The 20,206-nt window shown below is 36.3% G+C and overlaps 1 protein-coding gene across 1 annotated transcript; it reads right to left on the bottom strand.

The window, feature by feature from the left end:
• Positions 1-10,829: 10,829 nt before the first annotated feature.
• Positions 10,830-17,140, bottom strand: OOSP4A (oocyte secreted protein family member 4A). Its single transcript, NM_001395277.1, has 5 exons — positions 17,074-17,140; positions 15,460-15,638; positions 14,009-14,106; positions 11,889-12,023; positions 10,830-11,124 (listed from the first exon to the last, which is right to left on the bottom strand). The coding sequence occupies exons 1-5, from the start codon at positions 17,138-17,140 to the stop codon at positions 11,049-11,051; spliced, it is 555 nt and encodes a 184-aa protein (NP_001382206.1). The 3' UTR covers positions 10,830-11,048.
• Between the last annotated feature and the right edge of the window lie 3,066 nt (positions 17,141-20,206).

The raw sequence follows: 20,206 nt of genomic DNA, 5'->3' as shown, positions 1-20,206 counted from the left end.
CAAAAGGTATTATTATTGCTCCTTCTCAGTTATCCCAAGATTGTCCAAAATTCTCCAAGTGCTTGATTTTCCATCCCAACCCCCATCCATTATGTGAAGTGATAATGGAAAAATTAGAGGACATTAAAATATGGATATATCAAGCAAGCTCTATTGCCCATTGAGCTTCTATTCTAATGGTTGGGTAAGAGAAACTAAAGAACTATTTTAGATAGTAACAATTTTGAGGAAAAATAAGACATGAAAGGGACACAAAATGAGGAGAGAGTTGAAATTTTAAATACAATGATCTGAGAAGGTCTCAATAAGGACACATTTGAACAAAGTCCTCCAGAAGATGAGTAGAAGAGCTATGCAAATAACTAAGGGAAGAACATCCCAGGCAATGAGAAGAGAAAATACAAATGACAGGCACGAGAGTTTGCCTGGAGAACCTGGGCAGTGAAGAGTCCAATATTGCGGAAAAAGAGACAGCAAGTGGGGAAGAAACAGGCCATGAGATCAGAGAACTATCAAGGAACAAATTACGTGTAGTCCTGGAGGCCATTCAACAGGCACTTGACCCTCGGGGGATAAAAAGCCGTTGGAAGATTTTGACCAGATGAATGATGCATTCCTGCTTACATTTTGTTGAGAGCTCTCTGTTTGCTATGTGGAAAACATAATTTAAGGGGATGGGGTGACACATAAAACAAGTTACAAGGACAGTGCAATAATTCAAGCCAAAGATACTTAACGGTTTGGACAGCATAATAACATTAGAGTTTATCAGAAATGGTCCAGTTCTTCAAATATTTTGAAGGTAGAATCAATGGTTTGCTGATGTATACAGTAAGAGAAAAAGGTAGCCAGGATAGCATCACAGTTTTCAGCTTTAGCAACCTGTAAGGTGCAGTTGTAAATACAAATTGAAGACAAGAGGCTTAATTCTTCCCATTAAAATTAAGGAAAGCTTTCCCTCCTCTCCTTTTGCTTAGAGCATTTACCTCAGAAAACTTGTAAGTACTTTCTCCTCTTTTTTAAAAAAAAAATGTATATACAGCCATTTGAAGAATTAATTGACCTTTTGTCAGCTTTAAGACCTGAGACTGTCTTTCTCAATGACCTGGGGGCCATCTCTTTGGAATGTAAACATCAAGGAAGAAGGTGTTCCTATCTCAGTTTCTAGGAGAGAATGACAGCCTAACTCCTGTAGATGCCTCGTTCTAATTTGCAGAACTATGTCCTATCATAAAGATATGAAGTTTTTTTTGTAGATAAAGCCAATTACCTAAAAGAAGTTATGTCCATTACCAGGTAAAAGATAGGACAAGTTACATGTGACAAATGGTACCATCAAGTCAAGTCCTCTTTCCTAAGGACTAATTTTTTAACTTGAGAACACATATAGGGAATTCTATCTGCATAGCTATATGAAAGAGTGAGATTTTCTTTCTTTGCAATCTCTTAGCAGATTGACTGTGATGTCTATCACATTCTTATTCAATAATAGAACAGTTTTATTTCTCTTCTACCACTGTGGAGTGTTTTCCTTGGCTGGGAGAAGATTTTGTTTTTAGTTATTTTTTCCCAACATAGTCACCATAGGCTGATATGAGGGATAATGTGGGAGAAACAAAAGTGGCAGTTAATAGCAGAAGTTCAGTTTGGAAAGGTTAAGTCTGAAATGCCATTAGATATTCAAACAGATAGTGGGAAATATGCATCTGAAGTTAAAAAAGAATACTCAGACTGGGGATTAAACGTGAGATAATTATGAATGTAAAAAGGATATGTGATATCATGGCACTGGATAGGATAAAACAACAACAACAACAAAAATAGAATAAGAAAGAGTTTCTGAGATTGATTCTTGTATGACCAAGATCAAGCAATGAAGGAGACACTAGAAAACGAAAGAAAAGAAATGTCAGCAAGGCAGGACAAAAGAGAAGAGAACAGTATGACCTACAAGCCAAGTAAAGCAAGTTTTTAGGAGACGAATAATCCATCCCATGGGCTACGACAAAAATCAAGTAAGTGAGGGCTGACAACAGAGCAACTGTCAAATGTTTTAATGTAGAAATCACCAATGTTTCAGGCAAACTTTTGATGGAGTGTTTTTGGTGAATGACTCATTAAAGTTAAATTTTTTTAAAAAAAGAGAGAGAAATAGGAGAGAGTGAATACAGTAACTTTAAAGAGAAGAAAACTGAGGCAGTAACTGGAAGAGGAAGTGGGATCAATAAGGCCAGAGATGTATAGATCATGTCTATGCAATGACACAGAGTTCCAGGATGATATAGTTTCTTAGGAAGAGGAAATGTTAACCTTTCATTAGGACACAAGATGGCTGAAAGTCTGGGAGATTTAAATCATGTGCGTTGGTTACAATGAAGCTATAGGCCAAATTCCCCACAGGTCATTTAGAGTTTATTCAATTTTTACGTAGGAAAGGGCCCCAGGAATACATCTTTGAAATTTTTCCAAACCCGAAATGGAAGTTTCACTATCTATTATACTCACTTGGAACAATGTATCAGCTGCTTTGATATTAAAAAAAAAAAATTGACGCATGTCATTTGACCCAGTTAATATTAGTTTGATATGCCATTTGAAAGTGTGCTCTGAAAAGGAATCATTTACAAATGAAAGCAGCTGACCACTTTGTCCAAACTCTAAGCCACATGGCCAAAGGCATGAACACCTAAACAATCTTCACTCTAGACACTGAGCAGAATCTCCTGATTATCAATTCACTGTGAATATTTCAGACACTACAAAGTGACAAGCATGTCTAAGACAAAAGAAAATAACCCCAGAAAGTCTGCAGATTAAGAAAAAATATGATCCATCTAATTATGGATTCAAGGGGAAATTACAGTAGTACAGATGCATGAATAAACTGAGTGAAAACAGCCAGTAGATATTAGCAGATGATCATCAGATTATGAAACCCCAAAGTCAAAAGTATGTAGCAAAGCACCCCACTGCTTAATATGCCACCCTCCAGAATCTTCTGTTTTTTCTTACTATTTTCAAGAGCATGAGTCGAGGCAAAAAGTATGAGGAGCCCTCCTAAAACTCCAGAGATCTTCATTGCCACAGATCTTAAACCAAGGAATCACAGGAAGTAGGTCTCTGCAGGTGTTTATAAACCTCTTGCCTCTTCAGCTGTGGGTAATGTTCATCATTCTGGAGAGCACCGAGAAGCACTCAGCACCTCATTGGCTTTTCCTCCTTACAGCTGAAGTCATTATAATCATAATTCAGAAAACCTGTGGGAAAATGTGAACAAGGGGGATTCTAGGATGTACTCTCTACCCCAAGCACATGGTGAGGCTGAAATGGTGACTTATATAATATTTGATATGTGTCTGTTGGAATGTTAAGAGCAGGGCTTTGCAGGATGATTTGAGGAGCTTCAAGGGGATAATACAGAAGACTCGTTTATGATTTGATTGATAATATTGTTTACCAATCAAATTAACCACTCTAGGATCTTGTGATTCCCTGGCCTCACAGCCAATGGTTCTGACCCAGTGAGCCCGTTAATGTGTCCTTCCAACAAGCACCAGGAGGCCCTGATTCAGGAAAACAAATTCACAAACCTGTGGTTTCAGCTTTGAAAACCCCAATCTGCTTTAATTTTGCTTTCCCAAAGTATTTTGTCATGAATGTGTATGTCTCCAGGTTGCTGAAGAAAAGTTCATGAGATAATTTTTGTCCAGTAAAACCTAGGAAGGTAAAATCCTGGCAGAGTGAGGGATTATGGATAAGGATAATAATTTGACCTGGCTCAATATTTTGGCAGAAACTATTCATTATAAAAGCTCCATCTCAGAAGCAAGAGTTTAATGAATTAGCTGTAGAAATTACATAACATGTTACATAGATTGTCTCATTTTCTAAATGCAGGATACTTGCTGGTGAATATTATCAAAATTAACTATAGAAATCTTGGGCTGGGTGTGGTGGCTTACGCCTGTAATCCCAACACTTTGGGAGGCAGAAGCGGGCGGATCACCTGAGGTCGGGAGTTCGAGACCAGACTGGCCAACATGGTGAACCGCCCCCCCCGCCCAAATCTCTGCTAAAACTACAAACATTAGCCAGGTGTTGTGGTGCATGCCTATGATCCCAGCTATTCGGGAGGCTGAGGCAGGAAAATCGCTTGAACACAGGAGGCAGAGGTTGCAGTAAGCCGAGATCGTGCCACCGCACTCCAGCCTGGGCAAAGAGTGAGACTTCATCTCAAAAAATAAAATTAAAATAATAAAATAAAATAAAAATCTCCAACACTGTGTGTTGACATAGCAAAAAACAAGTAAAAAGAGATATCTACGACTGTCAGAAACCTCAAGTGACAGTTCTTTCCACTAAATATTTGTATTATACTCAAGTGCTACTTCCACAGTACAGAATGGAACCTAATCAAGGATTAATCTCTACCTGTATTAAGTACCTAGAGCACAGTTTCTTAAACTCATCACTATTGACATTTTAGGCTAACGTATATTTTATTTTTCTTTATGGTTAGTGCTTTTTGTGTTTTCTTTAATAAGTCCTTCTTACACCAAAATCATGAAGAAATTTTCCTCTATTCTCTTCTGAAAGTTTTTTTACAATTAAGCTCTTTATATTTACATTCTTAATACACTTGGAATTAATTTTTCTGAATAGGGCAAGGTAAATGACCATATGTATATTCAAATGAATGTCCAGATATTTCAGTCCCGTTTTTAAAAAGTCTCTCATTATCTACCTCTCTGCAGTCTGTTCATCATAAATCAAGAGTCTATATATGTGTATATTTATTTCTAGATTTTATATTTTACTCATGGGTTTTTTTGTATATTCTTATGCCAATAACACATTATCTTGATTATCAATTTGTACTTCATCTCTATATATGATACATGAAATCCTCCTTCATTTTCTCTGTTTGACAGTATTTGACTGTATTTGACCAATTGCTATCCCATGTAAATTTTAAAACCAGCTTGCCAAATTTCAATTTTTAAAAAGTTGTGATTTTTAGGAGATTAGAATCAATCTAAAATCCATGAGTCTAACAATCAATGAACATATTCTCTATTTATTTTGATCTTTGTTAATCTCTCAGGGTAAATTTTTATAATTTCCTATAGTTTTTGTATGTGTTTTCTTAGATTTACTTCTAAGTATCAGATATTCTCATCCTATTATCATTTTTTCTATTCACTTACTGTTGCTGGTTCAGCAAATTCCAGTTGCTTTTTGTAAATTGATTGTTAACTTTAATAACTTATCTGTAAATCTTCTGTATTTTCTATATATATAATTATTCACCTGTAATGAGTTTCTTAATTGATCGTTAACGAATAACTTATCTGTAAATTCTTTTGTATTTTCTATATACATAATGATTCACCTGTGAATGAGTTTCTTTCTATATTATCTTTTATTCCTTAGTGTTGCTGTATATACTGTATCTAGAACCACCAACAAAGACTTTAATAAAAATAGTAATCATGGGTACCTTTATTTTATTTCTTATCAGAGAGAAAGGTATCAGCATTTTACCCTGTAAAAGCATGATGTTTGATATAGGGTATTTTAAACTTTCCCAAATTAAAGATGTTTCTTTGTATTGTTTGCTCATTTTTATCATCGTCAGCTGATGTATTTTATCAACTATGTTTACTGCATCTACTGAGATTACTATATTATCCATTAATCTGGTATTTTGGTAAAATACTGTGATAAGGCCAAGCGCAGTAGCTAACCCTTGTAATCCCAGCATTTTGGCACACCAAGCCAGGAGAATCACTGGAACTCAGGAGTTCGAGACCAACCTGGGCAATATAGTGAAACCTTATCTCTACTAAAAATTCAAAAACATTAGCCGGGCATGGTGGTGTATGCCTGTAGTCCCAGCTACTTGGGGGGCTGAAGCAGGAAGATTGCTTGAGCCTAGAAAGTTGAGGCTACGGTGAGCCTGATCATCTCACTGCACTCCAGCCTGGGTGACAGAGTGAGGCTCTGTCTCAAAGAAAAAAAGGATACTGTAATAACTTTTTCTAATATCTAGTCCAAATTTCATTATTGATGCAAACCATATTATAAAGTATTATTATTTATATATTTCAGTATTGTTTTTTATTTTGCTTAAAACTTTTACATCTGTATTCATTGGTGAAAATGGCCTGTCATTTCCTTCTCTTAGAAGGTTATTGAGATTAACCTAGCTTCATGAAGTAAGTTGGTAATTATTTCTTTTACAATTTTCTTGAAGAGTTTTAGACTGAAATTATTTTCCTCTTAAATGTCTTGTAGAAATACTACATGAAGCAAACTGGGCCTTGAATTTGGTTTATAGAAGGTTTTTGATAATTATTTTATTGTTATAAAACTACAGTTTTAAAATAATGATTCCATAATTACTTTTGGTGAGTGACGTACTTCCAAGCATTTGTCAATATCTTCTAACATTTCAGATAAATTGGCATATAATTGTTCTTTATGTCCTTAATTATTTAATAAATAAGTAAATCTGTTTATTAAAGTTATTTATTATCTGCCTAACCTGATGCCTCTTTTTCATTTCTGATATTCAAAGAATCACAGTTGGCTTTGTTGAGCTTTGTGATTTGTTTTCAGAAATATTAAAATCTATGCTATTTTTATTTTATTTTTTGCTTCTTTTTTCTTTGAATCTATTTCGCTCTACAAATTTCTTGAAATGGTTTGTTAGTGTATACTTTTCAAGCTTTCCTCTTTTCTAATACATTTCATTCTATAAATCTCTTTCTATATGCTGTTTTAATTACATCTAACAGGTTTGGAACTGTGGCCTTTTTGTAATCATTTTTATTTGAGATATTTTCTGATTATTGTTATGACTTTTTGATCATTGATTATTAAGACATTTATTCCTCAATTTATACATATGATGATATTTAAATATCTTCTTTGTTGTTTTGTAGAGACAGGTTCTCACTTTGTTGCCTAGGCTGGTCTCTAACTCCTGACTTCAAGTGATCCTTCTTACCTCGGCCTCCCAAAGTGGTGGGATTATGAGTTTGAGCCATTATGCCCAGCCTAAAATATCTTTTTTTAATTTTTGAATTATAAAGACATACTTTGTGTCAGAAAATACACAACATTCTATATGATTTTAATCCTTTGAAATGTATTGACTTCTTTTAATGTTAAATATTATCTTTTTTGTGTTGACCTTTACCCTGCACCTTGCTGAATTCATTTATTGGTTCTAGTAGCTTCCCTGTGGATTCTTTGGATTTTCGATACATAAGGTCACGTCATCTGCAAACAAAGATAATTTTACTTCTACCTTTTCAATTTCGATGAGTTTTATTTCTTTTCTTGCCTAGTTTGCCTGGCTAGAACTCTAGTCCTATTGCAATCCTTATTTTGTTTTGCTGTTGGATATCTTCACATCTTCAGAAGTCATCTAAGGTTAATAATATTTTACGTTTATATATTTCCAAAAATATCTGTTTTCTCAAAAATTCTTTCTGAATGTTAATGCTGTTTATCCATAGTCTTCTAGCATTCAAGTTTATAATTCTGTAACAATTTAACTTTTATAACATGTTTCATCTGTATTATTTGAGAGCATGGAATTGTGCTATCAAGGCAAGAAAAGAAAATAGTTAAAAATCAATAAGAAGTAATAAACTTAGATTTAAATAACAGGCAAATTTATAGGATATCTTAAGTACAGAAATATTAGAAGAAGGTTGTGGAACACCACAGAATTAATAAAATCTGTTAAATATAGATGAGTCAGTGTGATGGTTAATTTTATGGGTCAGTCTACCTGGGCCACGGGGTGCCCAGCTATTTGGTTAAACATTGCTTCTCGGTGTGTTTGCAAGGGTGTTTCCAGAGGAGATAAGCATTTGAATAGGTAAGCTAAGTAAAGCAAAGTGCCTTTCCCAACGTGGCTGGGCATCATCCAATCTGTTGAGGGTCTGAATAGAACAAAAAGACAGAGGAACGGACAATTCACTCTTTTTCACTTGACTGCTTGAACTCAGATATTATTGGTCTTCTTCTGCCCTCAGGCTGGGACTCGCACAATTAATGTTCCTGATTGTCAGGATTTTAGACTCAGCTAGAACTATACCATGAGCTTTCCTGGGTCTCCAGCTTGCGGATCTTGGGAATTAGCCCCCGCGATGATCTGAGCCAACACACACATGCCCACACACACACACGTGTGTGTGTGTATATATATTGACCTAACATCTGTATAACATTGCCCACCTATTGGTGATACCTAATATAGTCACATTATGGCCTTCATATGTTTTTTACTCTTCTGTACAAATTCCGTGGCAGTATACCACATGAACTGGTGAGCTGCAGCTCTGGCCAGGGAGCTTGCCTCTGTAACACTCTGATAGAGCAAATGCATGTCACTGACCTTGAGCACCTTGTGTCTAGAGCCGACTTTTTCAGTCCTCAAGTCAGGTTCTTATAATCTCATAATCACAATCAGTGCAGAAAGATGATGCAGCAGAGATAAGGACAGCGCATATTTGAGGATTACAGTAACATGGTCCTTCAATTCTGCCTCTACCCTATCCTAAATGCATTGTCTCTCTTCAAAACCCTTCCCCACTTATTTTCTCTTGCTTTCTTGCTGTCTGTAGACTTAAATGTGGTTGGATCATCTTTCATCTATGACACTTCTGGGAGGGATGGACCAATGTTAATAGGCCCTGCACTGATGATTTCTACAAAGGACACTTATTTGTAGAAAACCTTTTTGCTTTACTTTTAGGCCTGGTATGGTGGCTCATGCATGTAATCCCAGCATTTTGGGAGGCCAAGGTGGACAGATCACCTGAGGTCAGGAGTTCAAGACCAGCCTGACCAACATGGTGAAACCCCATCTCTACTAAAAATAAAAAATTAGCCGGGCATGGTGATGCATGCCTGTAATCCCAGCACTTTGGGAAGCCAAGGTGGGTGGATCATCTGAGGTCAGGAGTTTGAGACCAGCCTGGCCAACATGGTGAAACCCCATCTCTACTAAAAATATTTTTAAAAATTAGCTGGCCATGGTGGTGTGCACCTGTAATCCCAGCTACTAGGGAGGCTGAGGCAGCAGGATCACTTGAACCCGTGAGGCAGAGGTTGCAGTGAGCCAAGATTGTGCCATTGCACTCCAGCCTAGGCAACAAGAGTGAAATGCACAAAAAAAAAAAAAAAAAAAAAAAAAAAACTGCTCTGTAGGATTTCTCAACTCTTGGTTTTCTAAAATTAAAACATAAGCCTAACAAAAAGACACTTAAATTGTTAAATTGAAAGAACTGAGGAAAAGAGAGCATATACGTGTATGAGTCATTCATTGAAACAAGGAATTACAGCAACTCAGTTAAATTATTGTCAAATTTACTTAAAATAGGTAACACATTTCTCTCTAGAGAAAAATGAAAAATGTCTCATGAATTAAAATGAAACTCATGCTCTTATATTCAAGCATTGAAATAGTTCATATTATGTTAGTAAATTCCCTTAGGGGCCTATTTTAAAAGGGGAAAATGCTGTGGGAAATAAACCGAAATAAAGGGCAGTAGAACAGGATAGTATTAGGGGACCATGTTTATTTACTACATTACCCAAGAAAGAACAGCATTTGAGACACATTTGTGGACTTCAACTTTCAATTTTTCTCATAAGAAAATTCAGTCTTTAACCCACTGGTGAGAAGAAACAGTCACCCTACAGCCTTACCTGGATTTTTGCTGTTCTGGAAATCTTCCTGGCCCCAGGCCCTTTACATCTTCTAAACTCTGAGGCAGAGCTTCCTCCCTCTGACTGGTTAAAAAAGGGCAGAGATTTGCAGGAAGCCTTATTTATCCAGGGCTCTAAACTGTTTGACAGCCTTATCAGGACTAGAGTATGCTGCAATTATGACCCCTTGTTACTTTTGTCAACTGATCCATAATCCAGAGATTAGGAGTGAAGAATTTCAAGAGAATCCGTAAAAGCAAAAGATTTTTACATTCTTTTCAAATGCTGCCATTTGCCTTTAGAGATATTTGGACAAGAAAGATTCACTTTTGGTTTGAAACAATCATCAATAATGCAGAAACCAACTGGAATTTTATTTCCTCTCAATTCTAGCCTCTTTATATGACCAGATGGATGAACCTACATTTCCAAACTGATTTGAAATTGCTAACACACAGAAAAGGAAAGTGATCCAGACAGGAAAAAATACAGAAGAGACTGAAATAGGCTATTTTCTGAACAATTTATAAAGAAAATCCTGATTTCATCTTATTTTACACATATCATTAGAAGTCAGTGAAACGGGGAACAACTGGAGAATTAGATTATGATACAGTAGTTCCCTTTATCCATAGGGGATGCATTCCAAGACCACCAGGGGATTCCTGAAATTGTGGTTAGTACCAAACCCTGTATAAACACTATAATTTTCTTATTTATATCTATGATAAAGTTTAATTAGGCACAGTAAGAGATTAACAATAAAATATATCATAAAATATGCTACAACAAAAGTTATGTGAATGTGTCTTTCTTTGGAGTACGTAACAAGTATGAAATGGAATTATGAATTTCCATGAAGATATTAAGAATATTTTAGTATTTTGAGACCACAGTTGACAGCGAGAAACTGAAACCATGGGAAGCAAAACTGAATAAGGAAAGACTACTGTGTATTAGATACTCAATTGCTACCCAAAACAGATGATGATGGGTAAGCCTATTCACAAAATGCAATTGCCTCACACTTTATAATGCTCTGTGAATCAGGACTTAAGTTTTCTTTTAAAAATATAAATAACTATTAAGAATTGTAAAACTTTATTTAAGAATACCTTTATTACAAGTTTAAAATCTGGGAAGGGAAGGCTTTTCTCCCTACCCCAACGGTTCATAAATATGGACAACAGAGCAGGTTTTTTCATTTAAAAATATCACATTTGAAATGATAAAAGACAATATCCAGTGACTAGTCCAACTTCTAAAAGGCAATGAAATCCTCAAGCAGCCAGAGTACCAGGTGAAGTAGGGTAGCCTCATCATCCAGAATGTACAGCTTTGTTCTTACACTTAGGAAGGGATACAATGAGGTAGCTCAACAAGGGAACACTGTTCCTGTAAGGACGGAAAAGAAACAGTTACATTGTTGTACTGATGGGAAACTACCATCTAACTATCCACTGAGGCTCAACAAAGTGGGAACGTGGGAAAAAGGCATCAATTTTAAACCCCAGGGACCATTATAATATTCTAATGATTCAAGTATCACAAATACGATATATACACATGTATACACACATACATATTATGTGTATATGTAGCTATTAGTTAACAAATGCTTAGTAAATGATTATAAATTTTACATGAGGACACCATCTGAAGTTTAGAATTATGAGGGTCGGTTGATACGTGGAATAAGGGCCTGTCCCTCTAGCATACTAAAGTCCAAAGATTATAGCCTATTTGAATATTCTTATGGCTCATTTGAGTTTTCTCTTGCTGACATTTAGTTCTTTTAGAACAAAAAGCTGGAATTAGAGTTAACATAGATATCAATTACTATCTTTACGGGAATCCATGATCCCATTCCATACTTATATGCACCAAAGATGGTTTTTCTCTAGCTCAAGTAAATTAACATAAAAGAACTATTGAGGTTACAATTGCAAATCTGTTTTATGTAAGGAAATAATGAGAAATGCCAAGATAAAATATATCCCTAATAAACATAAAAAATGCAGTATTCCAATGATCCTGAACTAAAATCATATGGGCAATAGTACACAAAATGTGGCATATGCCACCACCTTACTAAACCCTGGCCTTTTTTATATAAATGTACTGTAAACATTTATGGTACTAATTCAAAATACTCTTACACATAGGACACTCTTGGACGGATTTCCAAGTCTTCAAGTTCATGTGATAGTGAGCGGTGCTGTCCCACTGACCTTCTGCATTCACGACGGCTATCATTCTCTCTCCCTCTCATTACTAAGATTATTGGAAACCTTCTGAAAAAGAGAAAAAAATATATTTAAGCTTTGTATATATTATGCTTTTGGAGGTGGAGAAAAAGTTGAAATGTGGAGAAAAACTAAATTAAACAGATCTCTTCCAGCTGTGAGAGAATGCCAAATCAGCTAGCTGAGACAAATATGAAAATGTGTTGTTTCACAGAATATGAGAAAAAATTCACAGATGGTTGCATACGACTTTTCATTATCCCAAAATGTACTATTGTGACCTGAAGCCAATTTCACAGGAATGTCAAATACCAAGAACTCTTAATAAGTGGCTGAAGCAGCTCTTATCTCTAATCATCTCAACAGACATCTACAGAGAATGATTAGAGGCATGCAGTTCTGAGTTCTTAGCCTATGACAGAGGGATAAGTGGGGTCACTAAAATTCTCCCTCCCTTAATGAAGCCAAATAAAGGTGTTTCTATCAGCTTCTCCAACACAGAGTTTCCTACAGCAAGAGGCTGACATTTTACTCCCAACTATCTGCCTGTGCAGTAGAATGACACGAGAGACATGCAGGTGTAGAAAAGGGGACAGAAAGGGCATATTCTCCCACCATGAACTGTAGTATGACTAAGTAATTTCCCCCACAGGTATCAACATTTTAGCTGTATTTCCAGGATTTCACTCAAGAATACCTGTGAACTGGAGAGGGGACCTCAAGAAGTCAAGATATTGGAATAAAAAACAACCAAGACAGAAAATGAGCAGGTTGTGTGGAGGCCTACAGTGGCAGTTGTATGGACGAAGAAGTAAGCCTTGTTTTAGATCGGTCCATCAGGAAATATGCAGTTGTGATGACCACCCCCTTTCTAAGAACTCCAAAAAACTCACACATCCATAATTCGAGATACACTTCTGGGTGAAGGTATGATTATCTAGCCAGCATTGCTGGAAATGGACCACAATTGCACCATGTAACCATGAGATAATTGTGACCCAACCTCTTTCATCCTGTCATATCAGCAAAACATGAAGATAAAAGCAGCAGAGGGAAATGTACTACTCAGATTATACTAAACCCTCTTCTTCTCCAAATCCTTTGTGTGCTCTGTAAAACTCTAGGAGTCTTAAAGAAAACCCAAGTTTGATATAACATTGGAGATAGGGACCTGACTTGATTTTCACTTATGAGAAGGACCAAAGATGCTGTTAATGAATAAGAAAAGTAGATATCACCAAGTATAATTGAAGTCAGTGGTTGTAAGTTAAATATAGCCATTAAATTCTGTGTCTCCAGAGACACAGAGACAACCTTCAAAATTGGTTGGAATGAACACTCTAGGGGCAGAGAGAACACACATGCAACTGGGCCTTGTGAACAGCTCAACCAGGGATTTGACCACAAGCAGAATTGCCTCCACCTTCATCAACAGGCTCTCCTGCTTTACTCTCTCATTGCAGAAAAGTTTCTCCAATAAGGAGAGAATTTTGGTCATTAGCAAGTCTTGATTTTATATATATAAAAAAAATTAGATATATATATAAAATACAAAAATTTGTCAGTTTTTGCAGAAACTGACAAATCAAAGACTGATTCAATTCTAGTTTTAAAATTGAGAAAATACTGATTTTGAATCTCTTGGCTCCTCCCCACATCTGCAGAAAGGTGGTATGGTTTGCACAAAAACTTAAGAACTCCTATAATAGCCATGGATGAGACAGTATGGGCAGGTGCAGACAAGGAACACTGCAAAAAAGGAAAGATTACTAACAAAAACTTTCTGACATAATCTCTTTAGTGACTGTAGAATTCAATTCTCATATAACAACTGAGCCTCATCTACTCATGCGGAAACTACATTGAGAGAATCAATTTATTTAGACCTACTCACATGACCAACAGAACACCATAGATCAGATTTGATCCAATGTCCAACCTTAGCATAATGTTCAGCAGTTTAACTGATCAGAACACCTAGAAGGCAAAAATAATATTAGATAGCCTTAATCTCAGTAGTGCACTGCACTTACCTTTGCACATAGCATGATACTGGGATGTGTAAATTGAAGTCAAAATTCGTTGGTTCATATACAATTAAACTTTCAATGAGAATACCTACTCCATGTTCCTAAAGGTGTAAAGGATATAAATTATCTTAATTATATCTCTTTCAAATGCTTTCAAATTCCATTTTAAAAATATAGATTAAAAACAAAATAATTTTTACTTTTATTTTTACTTTATGAAATAAAATAGGTATGAGTGCACGGTCTACAATAGAAGAGCAGAGCTAAGTGATAAAAATCCCTGGTTTTAGAAGACATTAATAGCCCCTGCCATAGTAGCAGGGACATTGTATTTGGCACTTGAGTCTGCATAGACAACTTTTGATCACCACATTTGTTTAACAGTCAAGGTCTGGGCCAGGCACGTTGGCTCACACCTGTAATCCCAGCGCTTTGGAAGGCAGAGGTGGGCAGATCACTAGGTCAAGAGATTGAGACCATCCTGACCAACAAGGTGAAACCCCATCTCTACTAAAAATACAAAAATTAGTTAGGTGTGGTGGTGCATGCCTGTAGTCCCAGCTACTTGGAAGGCTGAGGCAGGAGAATTGCTTGAACACGGGAGGTGGAGGTTGCAGTGAGCCGAGATTGTGCCGCTGCACTCCAGCCTGGTGACAGAGCAAGACTCCATTGCAAAAAGCAAAAAAAAAAAAAGAGTCAGAGTCTGATTTAGGCAGACCTAAATTATTCAGTGTGAATTTTGACTAGATATTTGACAACTTTAGAAAAGCAGTTGAGTCAGCCTCATGCTAAATTGAGTACTTGCCAAATACTAGACTTTTTTTTTTTGAGACTAGAGATACAGCAGCAAACAAATGATAAAGTCATGTACTTGGATCCAAAAATAGAATCAGTTCACCTAAATAATCTTTACTAGAAATAGATGTGATACCAAAAATGAAAAACTAGGCTATAATTACAAAACATAGCAACAATTTAACATAAAGCAAAAAAAAAAAAAGTTTTCTGGTGACTGGAAAGATTGATTTCTCTCTTATTAATACAGGAACTATATAAACTGATATACCCCATTTTCATCAAAATTTTAGGTCAACAACAAGAGTTGGGTATTTGTGGTACTGTTTCAAAACGAAATGTTTCTCTCAAACTAGATTTAACCAGAATATTTTAAAAAACAACAACAACAACAAAAAAAACACTATCACAGGCAAAAGAGATATGTTGCCAAAAAAATATTTTAAAGTAGGAACACACAGTTTTTGGAATCCCAAATCCTATTTGTCTTTCCTACAGATAGAAGCAACATCCAAAAATGTTGAAGAGAATAATCAATACTACATGAACTATTAAATTAACTGACAATTAAAATGTGAATACTGCAGTTTTAGTCATTGGTTTGTGGACCCAAAACAGTCAAAAGATATATTATTGGTTGAAATAATAACTGCTCTTACGCTCACTCTGATGCCACAAAAAGTTAGAAGATACAGGAACCCAAAGAAATCCACCTCGACCATGTTTACAGGACAGCCAATTCCTAGAGAGAGTTCGTTTTGCAAAGGTTGCAGGTCATTTAACAGCGGCGTTCGTCTAAGTTTGACCTGGAGCCAGGATTCAGAACAGGTTATAGACACTGTTGAAAGAAAATTTAAAAAGGGAAAACATCAAATAGTACGTCTGCCCCCAAACAAAGAACTCAGGAAACTTTCAACCTCTTGAGCTGAATCCCCAACTGTAGAGTGAAAATGTTTTGCTCCTATTTGTATATTTTTCCACTGGGAGATCTTGGGTCAATTAATCTCTATGTGTCTCAGTTTTTTCATCAGAATGTGGAAAAACCGTAGAAGTACTTCTTCAGAATTTTTTCTTAATTATACTTTAAGTTTTAGGGTACATGTGCACAACGTGCAGGTTAGTTACATATGTATACATGTGCCATGTTGGTGTGCTGCACCCATTAACTCGTCATTTAACATTAGGTATATCTCCTAATGCTATCCCTCCCCCCTCCCCCCTCCCCCACCCCACAACAGGCCCCGGTGTGTGATGTTCCCCTTCCTGTCTCCATGTGTTCTCATTGTTCAATTCCCACCTATGAGTGAGAACATGCAGTGTTTGGATTTTTGTCCTTGCGATAGTTGAGAATTTCTAAGCTAAATAAGTCAAATATCGCAACATGCACACTTTGTTTTTAGGGATTGTTCAAATTTTACTAACAGGTCTCAGGAATACATGTTTGAAATATATCTAGGTGTAAGTGATATCTATCTGAAATGGAGAAACAAGAAAAAGCTTTACATTTGGCTGCACACAATAGAAAAATATATCACGTGCTTCCACTTAAAATTTTATTTTGCATCAAAATATCTGAGCCAATAAATATTAATTAGTATGTGACACTAAGGATTCAGAAACAAAATAATACTGCAGTTACTCCGATGATAATTTTGATTGCCAACTATGTTAAATTTTGGTTTGAGGTCTTACTTCATTTTCAGTACATTTCTATGGTCAATTTTATTATTATCCCATATTTACACATGGATAAATTTAAGGTCATGTAACTATTAAGTGGCAGATCAGGATTAAAATCTATGCCAAATCTATTCAGAGCCTCAACTCTGAAAAGAATCATATACAATTGAATACAGCTGACTACTCTCTGTCCAAACTTCATACCCCACGGCCAGAAATGTAGACCTAGGTAACCTCCTCTCTTAGGCACTGGGCAGTCTCTCCTGATTTTGCCAGTCACTGTAAGTATTTCACATTCAGCAAAGTAACAAGCTAGTCTCCAGCAGAGAAAGAACCTGGAAATATTTTGCATGTAAAAAAAAATAAAAAACAACAGCACCTTGAGATCAGCTTAGAGGAAAAATTCAAGAGGAAGTACAGGGGTAAAGATAAAACTAGTCTGGCTGTAACTTTGCGATCATTAGTTATTAGCAGTTGATCACTAGGTTATAAAAAAAACAAACTCCCAAAGTCAACAATATGTTAAAAAAAAAAAAAAAAAAAAGCCCTGCTGATTGAAATTGCCACCTCCAAAAATTCCCTCTTTTTCTTACAATCTTGGAGACCATGAATCAACTCGAAAAGCATGAGGAGCTTTCCCAACACACAAGAGATCTTCATTGCTTCAGATTCCAGCCCAAGGTATCACAGGAAACAGAAAACCTAGGGAAGTGGGCCTCCACAGGTGTTTATAAACCTCTTGCCTCCTCAGCTGTGGGTGATGGTTTATCATTCTGGAAAGCACTGAGAACCCCTTAGCATAGTTTTGGCTTTTTGTCCTCACAGCTGAAGTTATTAAGTTGGCGCAAAAGTAATTGCGGTTTTTGCCATTGAAAGGTAAATCAGAAACTCAGGAAAGAACACATGGAAAGTGGTTCTAGGCTGCATCTCCTACCACCATGTCTTTTTTCTCAAGCATGTGGATGTGTCTGAAATTGTGTCTGACATAATATTTGATATGTGTCTATTGAATTGTTAAAGTAGGGCTTTGCAAGATGATTTGAGAAATTCAAGTGGTGATACAGAAGAATTATTTATGAATTGATTAACAATATTGCAATATTGCATATTATATTCACTCTGGGTTCTTGTGAAAAAAGAAAAATAAAAAAGCTTTTGCTCTACCTCCCAACCAATGATTCAGATCCAGTAAACCTGGGACGAGATGCGCTCACTAATCGGTGCTTGTAATCAGCTTCAGGAGGTTTTGATTCAGGTAAACAAATCCACACACCTGTGGTCTAAGCTTTGGCAAAACAATGCTTTCTGGTTTAATTTTGCTTTCCCTACAAGCATTTTATTATGAATGTGCACATATCTAGAGATCTAAAGAAATATTCTCTAAGGGCATTTTTGGACAATTAAATCTAGTAATGAAAAATTGTAAGAAAAAGGGATAATAGATAAGAATAACAGCATCACTTGGTTATACCTTTTGGCAGAAACCAACCTCCAAAAAACTTCCTCTCAAAAAGTAAAAGTAAAAGCCTAATAAATTATTTTTAGAAATTGTGTAGCATATCACATAGATTGCCTCAGCTTCTAAGTACAAAATAATTGTTTTTAGCTATATGAATCTCCAGGATTATGAACTGATGTAACAACGAGGAAGCAAAAAGTAACATCTGTGAACATCAGAAATCTCAAAGTCCTTTCTACTAAACGTTTTTATTATAGTGCATGTTCTTTAAAATTAGTAGGATTTTATGTTAAGGTATCTATCACTTAAATTATATTTGGGAATGAGAACCTTACAGTAGATTAAATTTATGAAGAATATTTCAGTGGTTTTTATTTGAAAATACTTATCTGTTTTCTTATTTAAGAGGTGAATAAATACATTGTTATTTTAAATAGCTAACTACATAGAAGTACATAAAATAATACTGGAATTTCTAATTCCAATAGCTTACATGCTTTCCTCTGTTGAAATAACCACTAATTTTGTAAATGTTAAGTTCACATAAAATTAGCAATTTTGAAGTATATAATTCAGTGGCACTTGGCACATACACATGTGTGAAACCATCACCCCTATAGTTCCAAAATGTTTTCATCATCGCCCCAAAGGAAAACTTATACTTCTTAAGCAACCCTCCACTCCTCCTTTCTCCCAGCCCCTGGCAAGCACCAAGCTACTTTCTATCTCTTTGGATTTACCTATTCTGGACACTTTGTAAAACTTGAATCATACTCTTAACTTTAAAAATCATGCTATTTATTTATTTGTTTACAAATAAAAGAGGCTTTATTTCTTATAAAGGGTTACAGACTGCAAGATGGCCATCCTAACAGGCTGGGATGCATAGCCTCCAGCAAAGCCTGAAAGGCAGGCACATTGCAGGGAGGGAGGAGTGAGATGGGAATTTATGCTGAATGGGTTGGCCAAGCATATGTATTTAACAGGTTATAGGAGGAGCTATGAATATTCACTAACGTGGTTCTAACACATAAGTGCTGAATAAACATGCATGTTATATATGACCCATGTTCACTTTGCGGTGGAGACTTAACATTTAAATCTATTACAATTAGGCCCTGTACATCTAAAGGTCTTTCCAGGATACTAAGTTATACAAGTGTGCAACCTCTGTAAACTGGCCAGAACCAGTTCTTGCTCAGTTGTCTCTTATCAGGAGAAAGTTGCTGAAATGAGTCCCTTGTCCAGTCAAAGCTGTAGTTATGGCTTATGGCACAGGAGAGTCAGTTAGCCTCTGGCAGTGGACAAGCTGTCATTGTTTTAATATTGCTTATCTCAAGGCCAGTGCTTGTTTAGCTGCTGGAAAAGAAAAAGAAAAACCTTGTGGCAGTTAGAACAAAGTTCATTCTTTAAGTGTAGGGGTGTGTGACTTAACCATTATTTGGCATGGCCTTGGGTCCTGTTTATAAGTTGGTATGTTATTGCCACAAAGAGTTTGTTGTGTCAGCCTTATGATCTTTTTTTTTTCTTTTTTTTTGAGACGGAGTCTCACTCTGTTGCCCAGGCTGGAGTGCAGTGGCGCGATCTTGGCTCACTGCAACCTCCACCTCCCTGGTTCAAGCAATTCCCCTGCTTCAGCCTCCCGAGTAGCTGGGATTATAGGCACACACCACCATGCCCGGCTAATTTTTTTTTGTATTTTTAGTAGAGATGGGGTTTAACATGTTGGCCAGACAGGTCTCGAACTCCTGACCTCAACCAATCTGCCCGCCTCAGCCTCCCAAAATGCTGGGATTTATAGGCATGAGCTACTGCACCCAGCCTGATCTCTTTTTTAGCATTAATACTAGTCAGGTGTTGTGTCTAAACCACAGAAGGGAAGTGGTGTAACAAGGCATGTCCAACCCCCCACCCCATGACGTCTGGGAACATAGTTCTTAAGGTTTCTCTGGGGTCCTCTTGGCCAAGATGGGGGTTCATTCAATCAGTTGAAGGCCTAGAATTTTATTTTTAGTTCACATGGTACCATGAATCAGTACTTCATTTCTTTTTATGGCTGTATAGTATTCCGTTGTATAGGTATAGCACATTTTCTTTAGTCATTCATTCATTGATGAACTTTCGGGTTGTTTCCATCTTTGAGAATAATACTACTCTGAAAGCTCTTGTTCAACATTTGTTTGAATTCCTGTTTTCAATTATTTGGGGTATTTGACTCAGCTTTAATCGCCTCCTATTCACCGCCCTGCTGAGGGAGAGATTCCTAT

Source organism: Homo sapiens, chromosome 11 (assembly GCF_000001405.40).
Source record: "Homo sapiens chromosome 11, GRCh38.p14 Primary Assembly".
NCBI lineage: Eukaryota > Metazoa > Chordata > Mammalia > Primates > Hominidae > Homo > Homo sapiens.
Note: the sequence above shows the minus strand (reverse complement) of the source record. Positions and strands in the feature narration are given on the sequence as shown.

Coding starts and splice junctions, on each gene's coding strand:
- OOSP4A (NM_001395277.1), bottom strand. CDS start 17,140: ATGAAGATCTCTTGTGTGTTGGGAAAGCTCCTCATGCTTTTCGAGTTG. Junction 14,107..15,459: donor TTTGTGGCATCAGAGTGAGC/GTAAGAGCAGTT, acceptor TTACACCTTTAG/GAACATGGAGTAGGTATTCT. Junction 11,125..11,888: donor CGTCCAAGAGTGTCCTATGT/GTAAGAGTATTT, acceptor CCGTCCTTACAG/GAACAGTGTTCCCTTGTTGA.